At 34.4% G+C, this 26064-nt stretch overlaps 1 long non-coding RNA gene across 1 annotated transcript in view; it reads right to left on the reverse strand.

Moving 5' to 3' along the window:
• The window catches only part of LINC01446 (long intergenic non-protein coding RNA 1446), a 156423-nt gene that overhangs the window by 22139 nt on the left and 108220 nt on the right, over positions 1-26064 (reverse strand). Inside the window, exon 5 of the long non-coding RNA NR_038371.1 lies at positions 14280-14442. This is a non-coding gene — a long non-coding RNA (long intergenic non-protein coding RNA 1446). The remainder of the gene's footprint in view (positions 1-14279; positions 14443-26064) is intronic.

Consider the following 26064-nt stretch of genomic DNA (forward strand, 5'->3'; position numbering starts at 1 on the left):
CTCTTCTTTGTGTCCATGTGTACTCAATGATTAGCTCCTACTTAAGTGAGAAGATGTGGTATTTGGTTTGCTGCTCTTGTGTTATTTTACTCAGGATAATGATCTCCAGCTCCACCCATGTTGCTGGAATGGACATGATCTCATTCTTTTGTTTCTGGCTGTATAGTATCGCATGGCATATATAAACCATATTTTCTTTATCCAGACTACCATGAATGGGCATTTAGGGTGAATCCATGTCTTTGCTATTGTGAACAGTGTTGCTTGCAATGAACCTAAGTGTGCATGTGTCTTTATGGTAGAAGATTTCTATTCCTTTGGGTATATACACAATGATGGGATTGCTGCATTTCATGCTAATTCTGTTTTACGTTCTTTGAGAAATCGCCAAACTGTGTTCCACAACGGCTGAACTAATTTACATTCTGATCAGCAGTGTATTTAAGTGTTCCCTTTTCTCCACAACCTTGCCAGCATCTGTTATTTTTGACGTTTTAATAATAGCCATTCTGATTGGTGTGACATGGTATCTCATTGTGGTTTTGATTGGCATTTTTTTTTAATGATTAGTGGTGCTAAGCATTTTTTCATATGCCTGTTGGCCACTGTTTGTCTTCTTTTTAAACGTGTCTGTTCATGTCCTAAGCTAGTCTTTAATGGGGTTGTTTTTTTGCTTCTTGATTTATGTTTCTTACAGATTCTAGATATTAGACCTTTATTGGATACATAGTTTTCAAATATTTTCTTCCTTTTAGAGGTGGCCTGTTTACACTGTTGATAGTTTCTTTTGCTGTGAAGAAGCTCTTTAGTTTAAGTAGGTCCCATTTGTAAATTTTTGTTTCTGTTGCAATTGCTTTTGATGTATTCATCATTGAATCTTTGCCAGGGCCTATGTCCACAATGGTAATTCCTAGGTATCATTAAAGGTTTCTATCATTTTAGGTTTTGATGTCAATTCATCTTGAGTTGATTTTGTATATGGTGTAAGGAAATAGGGTTTCAATTTTCTGCATATGGCTACCCAGTTATTTCTGCTTCATTTATTGACAGGGAGTCCTTTCCCCATTGCTTGTTTTTGTTTACTTTGACAAAGATCAGATGGTTGTACTTGTGCAGCATTGTTTCTGGGCTTTCTATTCTGTTTCTTTCATTTATGTGTCTCTTTTCTAATCAGTACTATGCTGTTTTGGTTATTGTAGTCTTGTAGTTTAGAAAGTTGGGTAACATGATATGTCCAGCTTTGTTCTTTTTGCTTAGGATTGCCTTGGCTATTAGGGCTCTTCTTTTGATTCCATATGAATTTTAATAGAGGTTTTTCTAATTCTGTAAAGAATATCATTGGTAGTTTGATGGGGACAGCATTAAATCTGTAAATTTCTTTGGGCAGTATGGCCACTTTAACGATATTGATTCTTCCTATCCATGAGCATGGAATGTTTTTCTATTTGTCTGTGTCACCTTTGATTTATTTGAGCAGTGTTTTGTAAATCTCTTTGTAGAAATCTTTCACCTCCCTTGTTAGCTGCATTTTTAGGTATTTTATTCTATTTGTGGCTGTTGTGAATATAATTATCTTCATTTGGCTCTCTGCTTGGATGTTGTTGATGTACCGAAATGCTACTGATATTTGTACATTGATTTTGTATTCTGAAACTTTGCTGAAGTTATTTTATCAGATATATCAGCTTTTGGGCAGAGACCATGGGGTTTTCTAGGAATAGAATCACACTGAAAACAGAGATAGTTTGAATCCCTCTCTATTTGGATGCCTTTTATTTCTTTCTCTTGCCTGATTGCTCTCACTAGGACTTCTGCTACCATGTTGAATACAAGTGGTGAGAGGGGACATTCATGTCTTCTTCTAGTTCTCAAAGGAAATGCTTCCAGCTTTTACCCATTCAGTATGATGTTGGTAATGGGAATGACATAGATGCCTCTTATTATTTTGAAGTATGTTCCTTCAGTGCCTAATTATTTGAAGGTTTTAACATAAAGCAATGTTGAATTTTACCAAAAGCCTTTGCTGCATCTATTGAGATAATCATGTGGTTTTGTTTGTAGTTCTATTTATGTGAAGAACCACATTTATTGATTTGCATATGTTGAACCAACCATGCAAACCAGAGTTAAAGCCTACTTGATTGTGGTGGATTAGCTTTTTGACATGCTGCTAGATTTGGTTTGCTAGTATTTTGTTGAGATTTTTTGCATCTGTGTTCATCAAGAATATTGGCCTGAAGTTGCCTTTTTTTACTGTTGTGTCTCTGCCAGATTTTGGTATCAGAATGATACTGGCCTGATAGAATGAGTTAGGGAGTAGTCCCTCCTCCTCAAATTTTTGGAATAGTTTCAGTAGGAATAGCCCTGGTATTCTTTATACATCTGGGAGAATTTGGCTGTGAATCTGTCTGGTTTTAGGCTTTTTTTCTGGTTGGTAGGCTTTTTATTACAGATTCAATTATGGAATTCATTATTCCTCTGTTAATGTATTCAGTTTCCTCCTGGTTCATTCTTGAGAGTTTGTATATTTCCAGAAACTTGTCCATTTCTTCTAAGTTTAAAAAAAACTGGAAGAAATAGAGGTGTTTCTAGTAGTCTATGAGAGGTTTTAATATTTCTGTGGGGTTGGCAGTAATGACCCCATTGTCATTTCCAATTGCATTTATTGGAATCTTCTCCCTTTTTTTTTTCTTTATTAGTCTAGCTGGCAGTCTATTGATCTTGTTTATTCTTTTAAATTTATTCTTTTAAATAACATACAGCTAGATTCATTGATGTTTTGTATGGTTTTCACATCTCAATTTCCTTCAGTTCAGCTCTGTTTCTGGTTATTTCTTGTCTTTTGTTACCTTTGGTGTTGATTTTCTCTTGTTTTTCCAGTTTCCCTGGGTGTGATATTAGATTGCTAATTTGAGGTCTTTCTAACTTTTTGACGTGGGCGTTTAGCACTATAATCTTCTCTCTTAACTCTTCATTAGCTTTGTCTCAGAGATTCTGGTATGCTGTCTCTTTGTTCTTATTAGTTCCAACAAATTTCTTGATCTCCGTCTTAATTTCATCATTGACCCAAGTCATTCAGGAACAGGTTGTTTGATTTCCATGTAATTCTTTGATTTTGAATGAATGTATGAAGTATTGATTTCTATTTTTATTGCCATCTAGTTTGAGAATGTGGTTGGTATGATTTTTTATCTTGAATTTGGTGAGAGTTGTTTTATGGCTGATTGTGTGGTAAATTTTAGAGTATGTTCCATGTACAGATGAGTAGAATGTATATTCTATTGTTTTGGAGTGGAGAGTTTCCATAGATGTCTATTATGTCCATTTGGTATGTTTGTGATCTGCCTCAGTGATCTGTCTAATTGTTTCAGTGAGGTGTTGTGATATCTCCTACTACTATTGTGTGGTTATCTAAGTCTCTTTGTAGGTCTTAAAGAACTTGTTTTATGAATCTGGGTTCTTTCTTGTTGGGTGCGTATGTATTTCAGAATGTTGGATCTTGTTGTTTTAAACCTTTACCATTATGCAGTGCCCTTCTTTGTCTTTTGTGATCATTGTTGGCTTAAAATCTGTTTTGTCTGAAATCAGAATAGCAACTCCTGTTTTCTTCTGTTTGCTTGGTAGGTTTTTCTCCATCCCTTCACTTTTAGCCTATTGATGCCACTGCATTTGAGATGCATCTCTCGGTGACAGCATACATTGGGTCTCGCTTCTTTATCCAGCTTGCCACTTTGTGCCTCTTAATTGGGGCATTTATTCCTTTTACACTCATGGTTAATACTGATATGTGTGGATTTAAATCTATCATGGTGTTGTTACCCAGTTATTATGCAACCTTGCTTGATTGTTTAGCTGCTTTACAGGGTCAATATTTATGTACTTATGTACATAATTGTATCAATATGTACAATATTAATACATAATTGTATCAATATGTGCAATATTAATACATAATTGTATCAATATGTGCAATATTAATACATAATTGTATTAATATGTGCAATATTAATACATAATTGTATTAATATGTGAAATATTAATACATAATTGTATTAATATGTGCAATATTAATACATAATTGTATTAATATGTGCAATATTAATACATAATTGTATTAATATGTGCAATATTAATACATAATTGTATTAATACAATGTAGTAAATATTGATTAATTGTATTAACAAAATGAAATCAATACTTAATGCTTTCATGGTGGCTGGTAACAGACTTTTCTTTCCATATTTAGTACTTTTTTTTTTTTATTTTTAGTAGAGACGGGGTTTCACCATGTTAGCCAGGATGGTCTTGATCATCTGACCTCATGATCCACCTGCCTCGGCCTCCCAAAGTGCTGAGATTAAAGGTGTGAGCCACTGTGCCCAGCCCCATATTTAGAACTTTCTAAAGGACCTCTTGGAAGGCAGATCTTATGGTAATGAATTCCCTTAGCATTTGCTTATGTGAAAAGAATCTCATTTCCTCTTCATTTATAAAACTTGGTTTGGCTGGATATGAAATTATTGGTTGGAATTTATTTTCTTCAAGAATGCAGAATATAAACCCTCAATGTCTTTGGGCTTGTAGGGTTTCTGCTGACAGGTTACAGGCAGCTAGAGAGCAGGGGCAAGTCAACTAAAAAGGAAACCGAAAAGGCGTATCCATCACATGGATTCTCTACAGTCCCCGAATTTGAATGTTGGCCTTTCTAGTGAGGTTGGAGAAATTTTCACGGGTGATATCCTGAAATACGTTTTCTAAGTTCCTTGCTTTCTCTTCCTTTCTTCCAGGGTTTAAAATATGTCACAGATTTGGTCTCTTTACAGAATCCTGTATTTTTCAGAGGGTTTTTTTTTTATTCTTTTTCATTCTTTTTTGTTTGTTTGTTTGTTTCTGACTATTTCACAGAATTGGTCTTCAAGCTTGAGATTCTTTGATCAGCTTGGTTGATTCTGCTGTCAATACTTGCAATTGTATTATGAAATTCTTGAGGTAAAATTTTCAGCTCTAACAGATCATGTTGATTCTTTCTTAAAATGGACATTTCATCTTTCAGCTCCTGTATAATTTTACTGTATGCCTTAGATGTCTTGGTTTGGGTTCCAACTCTCTCCTGGATCTCAATGATCTTCACTCTTATCAATTTTCTAAATTATATTTCTGTCATTACAGCCATTTCAGCATGGTTACAAACCATTGCTGGAAAATTAATGTGGTTGTTTGGAGATAAGAAGACACTCTGGTTTTTGGAGTTCCCAGAGTTCTTTCTCCAGTTCTTTCTCATCTATGTGGGCTGATGGTCCCTTAGTCTTTGAAGCTGCTGTACTTTGGATGAGGTTATTTAGGTTTTGCTTTTGCTTTCTTTTTTTTTGTTTATGCCCTTGGGGGTGTGATTGTGGATAAGGTGGGTTCAGTTGACTGGTTTCTTTTAATCTACAAACAGTAGGGTTCTCTGAGCAGCTCCTCACTGTCAATTGTTATTAGAAAATTGCAAATTAAACTCCAGTAAGATTGTACTCCATACATATTAGAATGTCTACATTAAAAAAAAAAACTGATATTACCAATTGCTGGTGAACATTTAGAGTAACAGGAACTTTCACTAATGCTGAAAATACAAACCAGTACAGCAAGTTTGGAAGGCAGTTTGACAATTCTACATCAAGCTAAACATAGTCAGATCATATATTCCATCAATCATAATTCCTAGGCATTTGGCTTATTTATTTGAAAATTCATTTTCACCCAAAAGCCTGTACATGAATGTTTATATCAGCTTTCTGCATAATTGCCAAAAATCAGAATCAACAAAATGGCCTTCAACAAGTAAATGGAAAAACCAACTGTGATATATTTATACAACAGAATATTATTCTGCGATTAAACAAAAATGAGCTATCAAGCCATGAAAAGATAGAATAAATATTAAATGCATGTTCTGAATGTAAAAATTTAGTCTGAAAGTCTATATATTCAATGAATTCAATCATATGACATCCTGTAAAGGACAAAATGATAGAGACATAAAAAGATCAAAATGGTTGCTTGGAGTCTGAAGTAGGGAGTTAGGTTTAATAGGTGGAGCACAGGGCAATTTTAGGACAGCTTTTTGGTATGATATTGTAATGGTGGATACATAAAACTCTGCATACCCAAACCCTGTAAAAATTATTGCACAAAGAATATTAATGTAAGTCAATTTTAACAAATTACTTAAGAGCTTTGAGGATCCCAAATGGAGTGCAGAATGTGGAAAAACAATATAAATATAGTACAGACATATGAAACATATGAAACACCTCACTTAGGGAGGTGGAATAAAACAATGCCTATGTAAGTTACTTTGACAATGAGTGGAGCCTGTAAGACTAAAAGTAAAGAATCCTATACATAAGCACTGTATTCTAGTTGATGACGTTGCTTCCCATAGGGGTAAGGGTAACAATTAAGATACTGCTGTGCAAATATGCTGGAATTAAACACTTAAGTAAATGGTGGCAGGATCTAGGCTACTCACTACACTTCCCAGAGATACATGAGGGGAAGAGGCTATCATACTGTATGTAGTAATAGATTAGAGTTGAAGACATTGGTATGAACTCATGTTCAGTTTAATTATGATGCAGATAGTACATATATTCCCTTACTCCATAGCTGAAAGTGTCTATGAGCAAATGTAATCTAGTGATAATGAACACAGCTAGTGCCCAGAGCTTGGTTTCTAATACCATTCTCCAGTAAAGGGAAGTAGGTCTCTTGGGATAACTGGCCGATTCTAGGCTGGGGGCAGGAAATGCACAAGGTAAGCCCAGAGCATCTTGTAGTGCCAGAAGGTAAGAAAGTGAAACAAACAAACAAACAAACAAAACACATGGGGAATGTCAAAGGGACACAGAAACCCACTGAAAGAGCTTCAGGTGACCAAAGCTGGAACAATTTAAGCAGCATTATAAAGTAATATTTGAATATAAAGAGGATCTATAAATTAAAGATAATAATAAATAGATAGAGGAGAAGAGACAAATTTCCTGTGAAAAGTTTCAGGTAATTTATGTAGATTCACCACCCTTTGAGAGCTAGAGCTTAACTTGCTACGATTTAAGTGTGGTCTGCACAGTTACGTCCTTCCAAAGAGCACAGTGTGGGATGGTGTTAAAAGAGTGACTCTGTGGCGGTGAAATCTGACAAACTCTACCTCAGCCAGATGATCAAGAGTAATAACAACAGTGATGTCATGTTGCCAAGCATGATACCCTTGTTATGATGTCATAACAGTAGCTCTTTACTTCTGTGATCTTCCTCCCAAAAACACATAACCACAATCTAATCATTAGAAACACATCAGAAAAACCACAAGTGAGGGACCTTATACAAAATACCTGACAAATACTCCTCAAAACTCTTTATGCCATCAAAAAACAAGGAAGGTCTGAGAAACTAGCACAGCAAAGATATGCCTAAGGAGACACGTTGACCCAATGTAAGATTAAGTAAAAATTAAAGAAACTGAAAAAAAAATGTACTCTAGTTAATAAGTGTGTATCAATATTGGTTCATTCATTGTAAAAAAAACTTCATATTAATGTTAGATACAAATAATTGGAGGAACTGTGAAGTATGTTGAAATGCACTGTCTTTTCAATTTTTCTATTCATTTAAAACTGTTCTAATAGAAAAATATGTAAATATAATAGTACTAAATATGTCTATTATACAGAGCCGGCCAAGATTCTTGAAAGAATTACAAAGATTACAATTTGTTGCACATTTTGTAGCATTTAGCTAGTTATGAAACTTTACAAAGCATTTATTTTATTCCTCCTCTCTGAAAGAATGTGGATAGCTATAAAACCTGAATTATCCCATCTATTGTTAATATGTAAGCATATTTTAAACCACTAGAAAGTTATATTGCTATTCAGTTTACTTAGTAAACAACCATTTCCGTGCAGACACTCAAAAGCCTACAATACATTTTTGAAAATATGGTCAATTCCGCTCAGGGATTAATTGGAGGAATTGTCTGGAAGTGGAAGATTAGTAAGAGGAAAGTCACAGATTAACAAATAATGACTGAAACAAAACTAGTCAAAACTAAGCTTACGCAAAGTAATTATTCCACTTACCCACGTGTCTGATTATTTTTTTACACAGTCTAGAAAATATAAAATACAAAATGCATTTATGTTTTTATTTTTTCCAGCTAGCCTCTTTCCTTCGCTTTTTCATAATGCTTTTTCTTGCATTAGTTTCATTCTATTTTGTGCTAAGCAACGTTAAATACGAATATTAAGCAAGGTTCAATCTCAGTTTCATTCAACCGTTTGAATTTGGTTTACCATCCGGCAGACCCTCCCACGTTACATTTCCTTCAGACTGCTCAAAAGCAAACTTCAATTCTTCAGTCAGTTGTCTCCAGGAATGGGCTTTTCTTTCTCAGTTGCCAACTGAACAAGCTGGTATTGCTTTATCTAGTTGATTGTTTATGATACATTATTTCTTATATTTCTCCATTTTCAGTGTGCTTTACTCTTCTGTATATAAGTGTTAATGTAGCATGTCACTTTTAAATAAATATCATGAATTACTTAATGTTCATTTCACCTTATAAAGTAAGTTGTTTACAATTTCTAATCCCCATAACACTGTACATTCTACCAACACACTTTTTGAAACCACATCTTCCAGGCATTCAGCTTTCAGAATTATTTTTAAAATTAACTTTGATTAGGATATATTATGCCTTTATTGGGTATTGTAATAGTAGGTGTATTTTTAACAAAAACTTCCTTCACTTTGTCTTACTATGATTGGGCAGACATGTAGATAGAGTTCATTTCTGGAGCATGATGGAAATCATGATTTTTCTCATTAATCTGCCTTACAGTTCATGAAAGTGCAGCCTGAGTTGGCATGGGGTGCCCTTCATCATTCTCTGATCTTCCCTACTCTCTTGTTTGTTCCCCTGGCCTCCAGTCCAGTCTCCTGGATGTGTATCAGCAGTTTGCTGTAAACTGCTAGCCTTTCAACACTCCAATGGGGAAGAGTCCTGGAGTCCTAAATAGCAATTAATCTTGGGTATTCAGACACTTTAAAGTTCAGGCCTATCAGGTAAACAAACTTGTGTTTTTGGTGAATATTAACTTGCACTCCTATCAGACACAAATTTTGACTCCTGTCCATGTTAAATGGTCAACTGTTTCACTAGAGAAAGGATAAAAAGGACCACAGTTGATTTTTATTCCTACCCATGTAATATATTCTGTGGTATATCTACAATATGATTTAAGCACTTAAAAGTTCATGAAGACATGTCAGCTATTTCATGGTATACTGTGTCATTTACCAGAAATAAAGCAGTTCTAGAAGACTTTGAAACATGTCATCAGACTGTTTTGGACTTCACCAAATCTTTAACTCCTCATATGATGAGAGTGGAAGCTAATTTTTTGCCAGAATTTTAGTAGATGAGCATAGGTAATTTAAAACATTACTACTTCTTCCCATGGGTTTGAATTATCTTTATTTATATAATTTACCTAGTTTTGAAAGTCAAATAATATTTAAAAGTTCCAGTAAGCTTTTGTATTGCTAAGTATTAGCAGAGAAAAAAAGGACATGGCAGACAGTGAGTGACAGGCATTTTCAAATTATGTAAAATCATAAATATATTTGTTAGTGGACCACATCTATTGTATATATAGACTTTATCATATTTGAAAAATTGACTTTAAAATGAGCTGTTTGAAATAGCTTTAAGCTTTTTCTGTCAGAGGCTGTAAGTGATTACAGGTAGTAGCTGATTATGATGCCCTAAGGAGACTGTTTTAGGAAGTGGAAATTGATGTGGTGAATGGAATCAAATATACTGCACTCAATTCAAAGCCATTATCCAAACTGGGTACGAAAGGCTCTAAAAGGTGAAAATGAGAGGCCCTTTCTGTAACAAAGAGTTCCGATTCTTCCAAAAAGATTGTACTTCGGAAGCCAGAGGCCGTGAAGAGCAAAGCCTGCTCCGCTGAGTTTGTTGTTAACCATGAAGTTCATGACAAGTATCATTGTCATGATACTAATATCCTTGTTATTATAAGCAACTTTTGAAAGTTTCTACTTGACAAAAGAAAAGGTTAACTTTGAAAATCTAATGCAATAATTAAGTTTAAAAATGATGTCACGATACCCCAAACAGTTAATGTTGGGGATCTTAAGTAAAGGCAGTATTCCAATGTGGCCAGTACATGACATCCTTGTGGAAATATCCCTGCTTAAGGACTAAAAGAAAGGGATCTTTACTTATCAATATGGCCAGAGGAATTGTCACAGAGTATAAATATCTGTGCTTAAGAGCTTGGCAAATGCAGCAACTTTAAGGGAAAATTACACTAAATACAGAAAAGTTTTTTTTCAAATTAATAATTTAATACCTGGACCTGCAATCATTTACTAAGCTGTCCACCCTCTCCCACTACTACACACACACATGCACACACACACATACATATGTATGCACGCACACACACACACATACACACACAGAGCTCCTTTTATTTCTTCACCAAAAAGGCAAGAAGTAAATATTTTTCTATTCTTTAACAACCCTCCGACATTTTTAAAAATTTTTTCAACGATAGTGAAAAGATGTCTTTTTCTGTCTTAACAAGAACAGAAACAGAGTTGCAACACTTGAGCCACTAAGTCATTTCTGCTAAGCTGACAGCCATTTCTTTTTCATAATGGCTGTGTTTCTTGGCTTAGAGGTGCAATTGAGGTTGGTAATTTCCTTCCAAAATGAGAAATAAACAAAATGATAGCAGAGATTACAAATGCAAGATCTAAGCATAACAGAAAAGTAAACAAAACCATTTCTGTGCTAAAATAAGAAAAAAATGAGGAATAAGCTTGTTTTTTTAAAGAAATAAAATCCTCATTAAATAAACACTCTACTGCTGGTAAGTTGTACAAAAAATAATTATTCCTTAGTACACTGTATGTTAAGCTGTATTTATTTGATTTGAGGAAGTAGGTATCAGAGGAAGTACTGGAACAAACAGATTATTCCATTTTCACATCAGATATTCAAGAGTATCTTTCATGTGACAAATTACTTGGGGCAAAACTGTGGAAAATAAGACATAATCTTCTCTATGGAAATACTGTCTCCTGTACTTAGTTGCAGAAATTAGTAATTTCATTAAAATGTGATGAAGATTAAAATCATACATACTCACAGTATATTTTCACCAGATTAATAGAGAGTCCACAATTTTGAATAATCATGACTCTTTTGTTAATCCAATGAAAACTATTAGCCTTCTTCCAGGAAAATAATATATATATATATACACACACACACAAGCACACACATATATTTTATATATATATAATTACACACACACACATATATATGATTATGCATGTAAAATTATAAATGTTGTATCCTTAAATAGTGAAGATCCTACCAGCTCAATGGAATGCCAGAATTCATGTCTACCTGAGATGGAGAGTTTCCAGCTATGCAGTACCTTTGCCGTTGCAAAGGTACACACACATACACATAGAGCTCTACAAGGGTCCTGCATTTTTGCAACAGAAGGATAGTATTTACAAAGAACCAATTACCTCAGAATTCTGGTAGCTGTTTTGTTGGTTAAGAAGATAGTATCCAAGCAGTATTGTTCAATTAATTATCAGAAATGATTCTACAAGTAAAATAAATCAAAACCTCATATTGAATTAAGCATTTTCTTTTGTAAAATATTGATATGATAGGAAACTGATAAAAAACTATTGACTACTGAATTATGTCCAAATTAAAAATATATAATTATCATAAATGAGAAAATTAAATGATATATCCCTATTACAAAGGCACAACAAGGTATTTCACACAAAAGATATGTATTCAGCAACTTCTAGTATAGCTTGAGAAGGATTTATGCCATAGGGCAGTCTAGAGGAATACTGAAGAAGATCAAATGGAAAGTCTGGGATTATAAAGCATTACAATATCCTCATAATAAAAATGATAAGGGGTGTTTTTTAAACTCCTGTGAAAAGCACATAAATCTAGCAAAGTTTGAGGATCAGGAATCGTTGCAAAAACGTTAACATTTGGGTAAAGTTTTGAAAATATATTGGGATTAGACTGATGAAAAAGGTGAGAAGAACAAAATAAAAAGTTGTTTGCATTTTGGGAATTAAAAAGCAGTTGATAAACATGGAGTGAAAACTCAATGAAAGGCTCAGGTAGATGTGCAGGTGGTAAGGTTATCAAATGCATAGGATCATTGTACAACAAATAAAATACTTTGTCTTTTAGAGTATACTTTGCCTTTTATTATTTGAATTTACTCTAAAAGACAATTGGTAACATTGAAGGATTTGATGACGGGGTGGCAGGATTAGGTAGTGCATCAGACTATTCATTCTGGCTGAAAGTGAAAGGTGCGCTGAAGAAACATAAGGCAGAAACAGCAATTAGATGAATGGTTTCAGATTTTTTGAGTGCAGTTTAGGAAAATAGAATTGGCTGGGCATCACAATTAATTAAACACATTGGGGAGGAGAGAGGATTCAAATGTTATATTCGTGTTTCCGGTGTAGGGTATTGCCTGGGGCTGTAGTTCTCAGTAGGATCCTCCAAGTTATCTTACTGACAAGAAAGATTTTCCTAAGGTCACAAACCTGAGTTACTACCCTGCTGAGGCCGTGGTAGAACTAAACAGAACAAAATATTTCAGTAAAACCTAGAGTTTGTGCAATCTTCCAATCTGCTCAGCTTGTTTGGCTACTTATGAAATGTCAGTTACCTTTTAAAAAGATAATTCCGATTGCACTTAGGAAAAATGATGGAAAGAGAACAAAGCTGGAAGCAGAGAGATCACCCATTAGTGCATTCTGGGCAAAACATGATGGGGGCTTGCACCAGAGGAATGAGGAGTGTCTGCATTTTGGATGTGTTGAAGGCATGGCCGCAGGAACTTCAGTGCAAGCAAATAAGCAAAAAATGTACTGGGTATCCATGGAAACCAAGATTCATCCCATACTATTTAAAAATAGATATTTTACTGAAGAAATGTCTTCAAAGTTTAAATGAAAAACAAAGGTTGTTAAGGCACCCAGGTCCTAATGGAATTAATTATGATTCACAGGGATGCATGTAGCAATGGAATGAAAGGCTTCACCTGGAGCCTGATGAGGGCTTCAGTCGTGCAGAAGTCATAGAAGGGCATAGCTATTGTTCATGAGAGACAGAACTGTTTCCCAACTTAAAAAAATACCATGACAAGTCAAGTCAAGAAGAGTCCGAGGGATCCATATGGAGGCTCACCTATGCACACGCAAAAAATACTCATTGAGTAGGCATGACCCAATCACTTCCCAGAGACCTCATCTCCAAATATCATTGCATTGGGGGTTAGGATTTCAACATATCAATTGGAGGGTGTTATAAACATTCAGTCTATCGCATGCACCAGCAACTCTACCCCTAGGAATTAACACATAAGAACTGCACATATATAGCCTCACAAAAACTTATGCATAACTATTTATTGTAGTTATTCATAATAACTGAATTCATAATCATTATTCATAATAACTGAAAAATAAAAAACACACAACAACAACAAAGCAAATACTAATCACATGATGAGTGTATGGACAAAATGTTGCCACATTATTCATACATGTATATAGCCAGACAGTAGAATATTATTAACCCATAAAATCAAAAATAGAATGAAGTACTTTGTAAGATGAATGAATTTTGTAAATATTACGGTAAGTGAAAGAAGCCAAGGCACATATTTTATGATTCAACATATATGAAATATCCAAAGTAACCTAATCTATAGCAAGTCGACTAGTAGTTACCATAGGTTAGGGGAGAGAGAATATTAAGTAACTGTTAATGAGCACAAAGTTTCTTTCTGAGTAGATAAATATGTTCCAAAATTAGAGAATATTTATTCTTGCATAACCCTGGAATATACTAAAATCCAATGAGTTGTGCACCCAAAAATGGTGACTTTTATGACATGTGAATTATATCTCATTTTGCTATTAAAATACATGTAGTTTTAGCTGAAACACATTAAAGCTTAGTCATTACTTTGCCCTCACAAGAAAAAATCAGAACAAACTGAAAATCATGACTTTTCTTGAATCCATCAAAGAACTCAGGAGAAACAGCAAACTGCTACCCTGCATCTGGAGAAACAGGCAAATTTGGAGCATCACAGCTGAGGCCACCTGAGCCATAAACTGTTGAAACACTTACGTGGTAATTTTGATGAATTGCTAGAGGACAAGTGTGAGCCAGCATGAGTGAAAACCTCTCGAATGCTGCAGTTTTAGCAAGACTCCCTCGCGTTCATGGTTTCATCTTCAGGAATCCCACAAGGTTCTCACAGTGAAGAGCCGAGAAAGATGCCCTCCTGACCCTGGCAGGGGGAGGTGAGAAGTAACCAGTCAAACAGACTTGGAATATTCGATGTAAGGAAGTCCTACTATCTGGAGGAAAAGGCTGTTCTATTACAGTCTAAAATAGACTGCACTATTTTCCCTAATGGCTGGAGACACTAAGGAACACTTGAACAGGCTACTGCCCAAGGACACAGGACCACTGAAAGACTTAGACTTCCATGTTAGACTATAGAATGCTTTCCCTTCACCACGCCTTACCATCACTGCACCAGTGCTCCAGTGCATCCGGGGGTTACGCCCGTAGTAATCAGACTCGGCCTGACAAACAGCTTCATAGGGAGCCCCGAAACAATAGGGGGTGACAAAATCAAGGGCAATAAAGGAATTTTATCTCTTGGCACCTACAAACATTGCAAATATTAAACACAACTTAACTCCAGCAAGATTAACAAAAATGCAAACACTAAATAAAACACATCTGTTCCTATTACCTGATGCAACATATCTACTTTCAACAAAAATATATAAGGCATGTTAAAAGACAAGTACAAATACAATCTGAAGACAAATAAATCACCTTTAACAGACTCAGATATAGCACAGGAATTGGATAATGAGACAAAGAATGCAAAATAACTATTATTAATATTAGGAAAAGGTAATCATCATATAAGATCAAATGCAAGATGTAAGCAGCAAGATAGAAACTTTACAACTTTAAATCAAAAGAAAAGGCTAGAATTCAAAAACACTGCACCAGCAGTAAAGAATGTCTTTGAAGGGGTCGTTAATAAACTAGACATAAATGGGAAAAGAATTAGTGAGTTCATAGTTAGGTTAAAAGAAACTTCCCAAACTGAAATACAAAATAAAACAAAGTAAGAAAACCGAAAAAAGTAAACAAAAAACACAAAGAATATCCAAAAATTATTGGACAGTTGCAAAAGGAGTAATATGTCCATAATTGAAATAAGAGAAGGAGAAAGAGCAAATGGGGCAAAAAAAAAAAAAAATAGTGGGCTGAAAGTTTTCCAAAATTGATGACATACACCAAACCATAGATTCAGGAAGATCAGAGAACACCAAACATGGTAAGTATAAAATACCTATACCAAGACATATTATATTAAACTGGAGAAAACCAAAGACAAAGAGAAAATCTTGAAAGTGCCAGATATAGGGGAAATCATTGAATAAATAATCAAAAAGCAACTCGTAACATGCTTATAAAGGAGCAAACTTAAGAATTAAGAATTACAGCAACTTCTCATCAGAAATCATGTGAGGAAAAAAGAAGAATAAATATCTATAATATATTATAGATGACTTAATATAAATATATAATATTTATATTATAGATGTACTATATTAATATTATATATTTACTATATAATAATATATATTTATTATTTTTATATATTTATTATATAATAATATAAATATATGAGATAAAATCATCTGCTTATATTATGCTTATTTGATCTAAAAGATAACTTCTTAAAGTAATACTAGCATCAATGTATCACACGACTTTAGTGCATGGATAAGAGAAAAGAATGACAGCAAGCCATAAAGGATGGGAGAAAGGGGATTGAAAATACTTTGTTCTAAGCTGCCTGCACTACAAGGGAAGTGGTAGTGCATTATCTAATGGTGGACTTAGACTACAGAAATTTGCTAACTATAAGACGACTACTAAAAAAATTAAAAGTGTAATTGATATGGCAAAAGAGAAGCTACAATGGAATTACGTATAAAATACTCAGTTAAATACAAGACAGAAAAGGAGGACAAGACAGAACAAATGAAACAAATATACAGGGCCGGGCGCGGTGGCTCACGCCTGTAATCCGAGCACTTTGGAAGGCCGAGGCGGGTGGATCATGAGGTCAGGAGATGGAGACCATCCTGGCTAACACGGTGAAACCCCATCTCTACTAAAAATACAAAAAATTAGCCGGGCGTGGTGGCGGGCGCCTGTAGTCCCAGCTACTCAGGAGGCTGAGGCAGGAGAATGGCGTGAACCCGGGAGGCGGAGCTTGCAGTGAGCCGAGATCACACCACTACACTCCAACCTGGGCCGACAGAGCAAGACTCTGTCTCAAAAAAATAAAAATAAAAAAAAAGAAAAAAGAAAAAGAAATATACAAGAGTTACAAATACGTTAAATATTAATATAGAATCAATAATCACCTTTATATGTCAGGTTTATAAACCAATTAAAAGAACAAGGGTTGTCAACACAAAACTAAATTATATGTCATCTGTGAGAAACCCACTGTTAGTGTAAAAATTCGGATAGGTTAAGTAAGTGGTAGAAAATGATTTGCCATATTAACACTAATGAAAAGAAAGCTGGAGTGGCAAAATTAACTTCAGCAAAAGGAGAATTTAGAAAAAGATTATCAGGGATAATGATAAACATTGCCTAATGATACCGTCATCAATTATCTAAGAAAATATGTCAGTCCTAAATATTTATACACCTAACAATAGATCATCAGACTATGAGGTTTCAGACTGTTTCAGTTGTTACTGAAACAGTTCCAAGAAAAAATAGACAAATATACTATTACAGTTTGATACTTCAACACTTCTCTTTCAATAATGGTCAATCCATCAGGCAAAAATCAGTAAAGATATAATTGGTACAAGTTCTCTACAGTCTCTTGCAGAAAATAGAAGCACAGAATATATTTCCTAAGTCATTCTATAAATAGACAGTATTACTCTGATACCAAAATCAGATAAAGACTCTATACAAAAGGAATACTACAGACTACTGATTAATGTAGATGCAAAAATCCTCAACAAAACTTAGGTCAAATCTAAAGAATTTGATTAAATAAAAAGAATTAAATATATAATTAAAATATAAGAATTAAATTAAAAGATCAAATAAAAAGAATTATACACCACAATCAAATGGGATGTGTCAGGATGTTTTAATTTCAGAAATTAAATAACTGCAATTCATTACAACAGGCTAAGAAAATATCCTATGGTCCTATGCAATATTAACAAATAAATTTAATTAATAACATTTGACAATCAGCAAATGGAAGCACAAAATACATAAATCTTTAATTTAGCTGTAAGCCAAACTGTTTTGTTATTGAGAAGATGTATCTTACACCTTAAAAATTATCTACCTTCCCAAAACTCTCTATAACATTTTGAAGAATGTTGTGCATAGGAAGAGATGCTTATTATCAGAAACCCTGAGGCAAAATGTTAGGGACTGTATGATAGAGAAGAATGAATGTCAGCTGGGGGTAAAATTAAGAGGATCATTCCCTTCAATGAGTTGAAAATAAGAAAGACATTTTTTTTTTTTAAGAAAAGAAAATGCTATGTTGCTTAAGTGTCTTGACCTGCATGTGGAAATCATAATAAGATAATATCTGCTAGAAGGAAATAGAAGAGTCCAGATGCATAGATAAAAAATAATTCCTCTTCAGGAAGGGAGTTTGCCAGTCTTCACAGAGATGGAGAATCCTACTTTTTCAAGTTGTTTTTAAAGCTCCCTGACTTGGCTTGGCAATGGGGGAAGTGTAGATCCTCTTCTGGAAGCCAACAATCCTCTTAAAAGAAATCCTTTTCACCCCGCTCTCTTTAAGACTAAAGATAGACCTTGGATTACAACTCTGGGCTTCTGCAAATGTTTCTTGACATAAGAAAAGTTCCTTTTAATGACTTGTTTTATGTACAAGTGGATATTATTTCTCTGGCTCCTTCTATCAACTGGGTCACATGCAGTTGCAAGTTCCAGGAATACTATTTGCAGTAGCATAACAAAATCCAGATTCCTTTTTAAAATTTTTATTATTTTATTTCAATAGATTCAGGGGTACACATGGTTTTTGGCTGCATGGATGAATTGTACAGTGGGGGAGTCTTGGTTTTAGTGTACCTGCCACCTGAGTAGTGTACGTTGTACCCAATAGGTAATTTTTCATTCCTCACCCCTCTCCTGATCTTCTCTATTCTGAGTCTTCAGTGTCCATTATATCACTCCATATGGCCCTGCTTACCCATAGCTTAGCTCCTACTATAAGTGAGAACATGCAGTATTTGATTTTCCATTCCTGAGTTACTTCACTTAAGATAATGGCCTCTGGTTCCATCCAAGTTGCTATAAAAGACATATTTCACTGTTTTTTATGGCTGAGTAGTATTACATGATGCATGTATGTATGTGTGTGTATATATATACACATATGTATATATATACACATATGTGTATATATATGTATATATATATGATGTACATACATACGTATATATATCTATCACATATTTTGTACCCACTCACTGGTTGCTGGGCACTTAGGTTCATGTCATATCTTTGAAATTTTTTTTTTTCATTTTTCTCACATAACAAGAATTCAGGGAGAAGCTGGGAGAGGAGGGAGGCAGTACATGGCTGGCCAGGCAGCTCCCAGGAGGTGCCAGAGATCCAAGCTCCTGTTTCTTTTTTCTCTAATCAGCCAAGCTGAGGACCTAGATTTGGTCATTCTGCTTTTGTCTGATAGTTTTTTTTCTCCCCCATATCCTACATTTCATAGAAATTCACAAAGGGGAAAGGTATATAAGGTGGCGGTGTGGTATCTACCTGCTTCTGCAGATCTGTGTCTTCTGCAGATACCCATTCTGAGAATTAAGTTACCTACTATCCTTTGTCATCAAGGGATGTTGGGTGCATTGTTATACTTAACAACATCAAGGTTCTGAGAGTAAAAAATGAAAAAAAATTTAATATTGGTTTGACAAATAGCAATTTCTATCCAACCACACTAAAGGTTTAAACACACACACAAACACAAAGTTGGTTAATGTCCTCATTATACCTATACAAATGAGAAACCTACCAGTTGGCTGACTATATAAATAACTTCATGGGGTCATTCAGTTTAGAACTGGGGGCCTGGGCCACATGCTGCTGAGGCTTTATCTGTGTGGCAAAGATTTATCCTGAAAATAATATTTCTTTTTTACTTTTTTTTCACTCAGTTGCAAACACTACCATAATATAACACAGGTCTTCCTTTATGTGGATGGAAGGGAATTGATCCCACACCAAAAAAACATTTAAAATAAAGAACTAAGCTAAATGATGATCATTTCTATTGATTCAAGATTATTTATTATGGGGCTCTGGGCATGGTAAATGGCCAAGTGAAATGAGTTGTGCGATAGCACCATGCATTTCCCTCTATTTACAAAAAATAAAATGATGAAACTAGTAGAATTAGTCAAGTTAGAACTGTAATGATTTTTAAACCCAGAATTAACAATCTATGCTAACAATTTTCTTTCAAATAAAGGTACAGTTCATGGGCTTTAATTTACTCTGCAGTTTCTCTTAATCCCAGACTTTCTTGGGCTTCTGCAGGGGTGGTGTCCCTTAGAGAGAACAACACAAGTGCTTATTAATGCCTCATGTGTGGGAAGAACTCACACATTCATGACTGTCTAATAATCACAGAAGCCTGGAGAAGTTAGTTCATTTCTTTTTGCTACTAGTAATATTATGATGAAAACCTAATAATAATGAAATGGGAGCATCTAAGTTGAATTTAGGATAAACCAAAGCAGTCAGTCATTCTGAGACGTTAAGTATTAGTTCACAAATGATTTTACAATTATTTGACGGTTTGGGTTACGTCAGAGTTTAATTTAAAGGAAATATTTGGATTCACTTTAAAATTCACACTTTTAGTGAAAGAGTATTTTGCTCTTAAATTTCTTGTCTATGACACCCTCCCTCCAAGTCTGTTTTTCAAGAAATCAACCAACATGTGCTTAGTTAAGAAATCTCTGGAAGATTTTTACCAGCTCAGAGAAGGTCCTCGGCTCCCACTGATCTTTCAAAATTGTATTTTAGGATAGTAAACTCTCTTCTCTTCAGAACAAGTCTCATTATGTTGGTAGCAGTTACTTTCCTCTCAAGCCAGGAGGAGGCTGTTAATATCTTTCAGAGAAAAATTTGTGGAGTAGTCATAAGAGATGCTTATCTTAATATGGACTGGTTCAGTCCTCTTTTTGTCATGAAAAAATCACTGTTGCAAAATACCAGCAGGTGTTGAAAGAGCAGGATTAATTTGTAAGAGTTGAATGACATCATTTTCAAATGGCTTATTAAACACTAATTAGATTTCAAATTGTGTGACTCTCCATATACTTATGTGAAGATGGAAAAGTTTTAAGCATCTGCTTTCTCTAGCATGGGGGTAAACAGGGTTACAGTTTAATTTCCATAGGTGACAGTTTATCAAATGAAATCAAAATGGAGCTATACTAATTCTTGTCTCATAAAATGAAGAGTGTGTCTGAATCTTTATTTCTATTCTCAGTAATCTTAGCTAATTAAGCAATTTTACTAAACAGTACAATTTCTTGATCTGCTTTTTGTAATTCAAAGCATTTTTGTAATGAGATTACTTCAAATGTATTGTCAAATAAGAACACAATACTGCTGAGCCAAAAAGCATTTTCAAAGAGTAGTCAAACTCAATGCTAAATAATGTCACATTTTATCTTTATAAACTTAGTCAATAAACATGTTTTACTCATTCAATATAACATTGTGTTAATTGTATATACATCATAAAGTCTTAGATACAACTATATAAAAGTATTTTAAGCAACAAATGTATCTCTGGGTAGAGTATTAACCTAATGCAATCTTTTTTAAATAACATGAATAATTCTAACTATATGAGACTTTAAATAAGAGGTTTATTAGGTTTCTACGTGTTAGACACACCAGAATACATGCTTGAATTCAAGGCAAAGATGATATCAGATATATAACAGGATACATTATATTCTGAAGTATCAAAAAGCTGCTGCTACTGTCTTAAAAATAAATAAATAATAAATAAATAAATAAATAGCTGAAGAGCACAGAATGTCAATTGGTTGAATGTAGTTCACAGACAAAACTCATTTCACCTTTATTTCTCCAAATGAACTGGGAAAAATCACAAAGAGTAAATTTTCCTAAACTCATCATAGAGTCTCTATGATGGCTCTAGCGTGATGTACAAATTTCTGTTTCTCCAACTTCCTCCTCACCATCCTCCGCCCACACTTGCTCCAGTGACATGGCCTGAACCATTTTGCAGGAGACAAAAGCTAAATTGTGCGACACCATACACACTTCTCAAAATTCCTCCCATACTTTGAACCAAGTGGGAGAGTTAATAAATATCTACAATTTAAAAATAGCATTACATATAAAAGCCCTGTGCTATACAATCTGTTCCTGCACCTTCGCCAACGCTCCCAAAGCTGTGTCATGGAGGACAGCAGAGCCCAGAGGCTGCAGACCACACCAGACAGGCTGCTCCTTTACATAATAAAAGTATGCCACAATAGCCTGCCTCTGGAAAATATTTAATACTTTATCATGAATATTCTGCATTAAGTTTGCTTTGCGTTGTAAAATATATTACATTACAATATTTATCTTCATCATTGAGTTTTTTTTTAGCATTCGTTTGAATGTTGCTCCTGAGGCAAGTGTCTTCATCTCCTCATTCATGTCACATCCTTGGTCTTGGTATTCCATGCATATTCCATATTCATGTTCTATATTCCATATTCAATCCCACTTCAAGAACATTGCACTTCTTTTCAAACTCATACCCAGAACTTCTCATAAAAGACTCCTCTTCATTCAGGGATCAGCAAAGATGTGCTAGGCATCTGTCCCATTTGATTCCCTTCTGTAGCTACACTGTGTATTTATCAACTATGTGTTTATTATCATCCTGTACATCATTATCTCCACTAGAAAGCCAATTTCCATCAGTTCTGTACTCTGGTCATTCATCATTTTTCCCGGCACAGAATGGGCATTCAATGACTATGTTTTGAATGAATGATTGTATGAGATTTTTTTGGCACGGGGCATGTCCTTTTATTTTAAAAAATAAGGGTAAATTTAGTTATTATTTTCCTGGGGTAACAAAGGTCATTCTAGGTATTTAATCAAAGAGAGAAAAAATGGAAGTGACATTTGTCTTGATCACTCACCAGCTCTGTTGGTTGTTTTGATAAAAGAGCGGAGGAAAAAAATTTCATGTGGGAAATGGCCTAAGCAAACAAAGCACCCACTGGACACTGTAAACTGTTGAGGGACCCACTGTGACTTAGGTAGAGGTTTTGTTTTGTAGTCATGATAGTTGAGGCAGAGAAGTAGGTACAGTCCTCTGTGAAATATGTTATCTGTCATGATCAGCATTTTATTATATAGGCAGAAGAAAAAATGAAGATTTGAAAGATCCGATATCTTTGTGTAAATGTTGATCTACCTAGTACATAGACAAGGAACTACTTGACAGTGAGGACATTAAAGCAGAAGCCAGCACGATTTTCTGATTGCATATTACAGGGAAGGTAGTCGATCTAGAACAGAAGCAGCTTAAGAAGATGATATAGGAAAAATCTTATCCTTTCAATTATAGTAGACCTGACATTGGCTGCCATTAGACCATGTACTTACTCTTACTTGAAATATTGTATCATTTTTCATCAACATTCCATACATTGACTGATTGAATGATTCATTAATTCATTCAAAATTATACATACAGCAAATTCTATATGCAGGATACTGAGCTATACAGTGGGGACACAAAACAAACGGAAGAATTTTTTTAAGTGACCAAATATATGAATAAATAAATACTGAATAATAAGCAATAATCTAGTTCTAAACATAGTTGAAATATAAATAAGAGTTCAGCTTTGGACTATGCCAATATTAATATGAATTGAAATACTTAGAGGATAAAAGGCAAAATATTTTTCACTGTGACATATTTTTAAGACACTATGTGGGTGGCAAGAGCAGAGAACACCTGTACTCCTATCTCCAATCAAAATATAATATTAGATGATGGAATGTGGCTGAGACTCCGTGTCTATTGCTCTGACTAAATTTCATCAACTGCATGATCTATCCAATTGGCTGTGCAAAAATCGATTGTGAAGACCAATGAAAGCATTGAGTGAGTGAAAAATGACCCTGCAGCAACATGCAGAAGTGATGAAAGTCTTTGTCCACGTAAGGAAAATGAAGGTTTAAGTCGAACATTTCTACAAACTAATGGAAAAATAAAATACTCTAATAATAAAACATATGCAGCCAAAACATCCTGTATAATTTGGGCTTCAGTTTTCAATTCAATATTTATGTTAAAATAGACAATAATATTTATAAGAATACTAATTAAGCATTCTGATATTTCCATTTAAAACCTGTTTGATGAAACAATATTACTGACATCTTGACTCAGAAACAGGCTTACACTCATGATGGAGTGGCATGCATGGCCAGTGAGATTAGTTTGATGGTTCGAATCCAAATATTTTGCTTTTGTCACAATCCTATAACAACCCAGACAACAAATCGTAGTGACCTTTCCCAACATAAATGGATGCTCTTGGTAAGGTAGCAGTTTCCTTTATTTTATGTGACTTTGATGGCACAGTATTTAATATTAGTTAAATACAGCAAGCCAAATTATTGGAACAGTTAAATTCCTATATGGAGCACAGTGAATACATCAGTTACTCACTGAAAATACTGGTAGAAGTGGTAGCAATGACGTTATCATGTATTAATCTATTGAAAAGCTTCTTGTATGGTATTTTGATGGCTGCAGTGTTTAATTTTAGTTTTTTTTTAATTTTGCTATGGTTGAGATAATTTTATTCCTAGCATTTCTACTATCTTATTTGTTACTCAAATTCTTGTGGAAATCCACTCCTATAAGAATAGTGGTCCCTTCTATATTTCTGTCTACTTTATTTTTCTATCTATATAGAAAGGTTGTAAGTTACAAAAAAGTACAAAACATTAAACCTAGTATCATTGCCATCCCAGAGGGTAGCACTGTTTTTATGTTAACGTATCTAATGCATGTCTGCAATTAATCAAGCAATTCCCTGTTGAAGATTTGTGTAAAGTTGTATATCTTTTCAAAATTTACCTACAATCCTAACCAAATTCCACTAAACACAATATTTCTAGAACTTGATAAAATGATTTTTAAAGTTCATCTTTAAAACAAAGGGTTTTTACTTCACTTTCTAATATGGCAGCTGATAAATCCATGTGTTTGTTGAACAGCTGAAATCTGTCTTGTCTAATTCTTCAGATACACACACACATACGTAATTACATACAGATGTCACTTGATGATGGGTTATGTCACAATAAACCCATTGTACATTGAAAATATTGTAAGTCAAACTGCATTTAATACACCTAACCTTTCCTGAACATCATAGCTTCACCTAACCTACCATAAATGTGCTCAGAATTCTTAAGCTAGCCTACAGTTGGGTGAAATCGTCTAGCAGAAAGCCTATTTTATAGTAATGTGTTGAATACTTCATGTAATTTGTAGAATATTTTACTAAAAGTGAAAAACAGAATGGTTGTATGGGTACTTAAAGTGTGGTTTCTACTGAATGTGTATCACTTTCACACCACTTTACAATCTATAAAAGTCATAAGTCAAACCATCACAAACTGGGGACTGTCTGCATCTAGTCAGTGTAAAACACTGGATTTCAATCGCAGTGGGAAAAAGTGTAAAATATTTCATTGATAATTTTATCTTTATTATAAATTAAAGTGATAAATTCTAAAGTACTTGATTAAATGAAATTTATTATTAACATTAATTTTATTTATTTCTATTTTTAAAATGTTTAAAAATTTTAAATATCACTAGGGACTTTCTAAAATGTCACTAGTTCAAAATTTAAAAGTGCTTATGTTGCTTTTTATTTATTTTTATTTTTTGAGACGGATTCTTGCTCTATAGTCCAGGCTGGAGTGCAGTGGCAGGATCTCGGTTCACTGCAAGCTCTTCCTCCCGGGTTCACGCCATTCTCCTGCCTCAGCCTCCCAAGTAGCTTGGACTATAGGTGCCCGCCACCATGCCCAGCTAATTTTTTGTATATTTAATAGAGATGGGGTTTCACCGTGTTAGCCAGGATGGTCTCAAACTCCTGACCTTGTGATCCGCCCACCTCGACCTCCCAAAGTGCTGGGATTACAGGCGTGAGCCACTGCGCCCGGCCCCATATGTTGCCTTTTATATATATTAAGCAATATAGATTGCTTATAAGGACAGCCAGTGCTGTATTCTAATAAATTAAATTATTCTAATAATTTAAATTAGAATATTAAAGTATTCTAATAAGTTAAATACTTCTAATAAAAGTATTTAATAAGTGCTATATTAAGCAATGTAGGGAAAGACAGGACTGGGATAGATTGACCACAAATAATAGAAGTGCACTTGAACCTTCACATATGAAAGCAGACAATGTACTAAATGAAATGATGTGGAAAGGGCAGAAGAATAGTTAGGTCCAGTGAATTAAACGACCACCCAGGAACAAACTCAAGTGTATGCATGAGAATACCATCTTATAATACAGTAGGATAGCATATCAGATATATCAGTGTTGTCATAATGGAACATCAGTGAAGAGTACTGAGGCAATCTAGTAGCTATTTAGTTATACACCCATGCCATCTTTTTAATATTTTGCTTTATACTCTCCAAAACATAACATAAATAGTAGAAAATAGTGAATTGAAAAATTGG

The sequence above is a fragment of the Homo sapiens genome, chromosome 7 (assembly GCF_000001405.40).
Source record: "Homo sapiens chromosome 7, GRCh38.p14 Primary Assembly".
In the NCBI taxonomy this organism is placed as follows: Eukaryota; Metazoa; Chordata; class Mammalia; order Primates; family Hominidae; genus Homo; species Homo sapiens.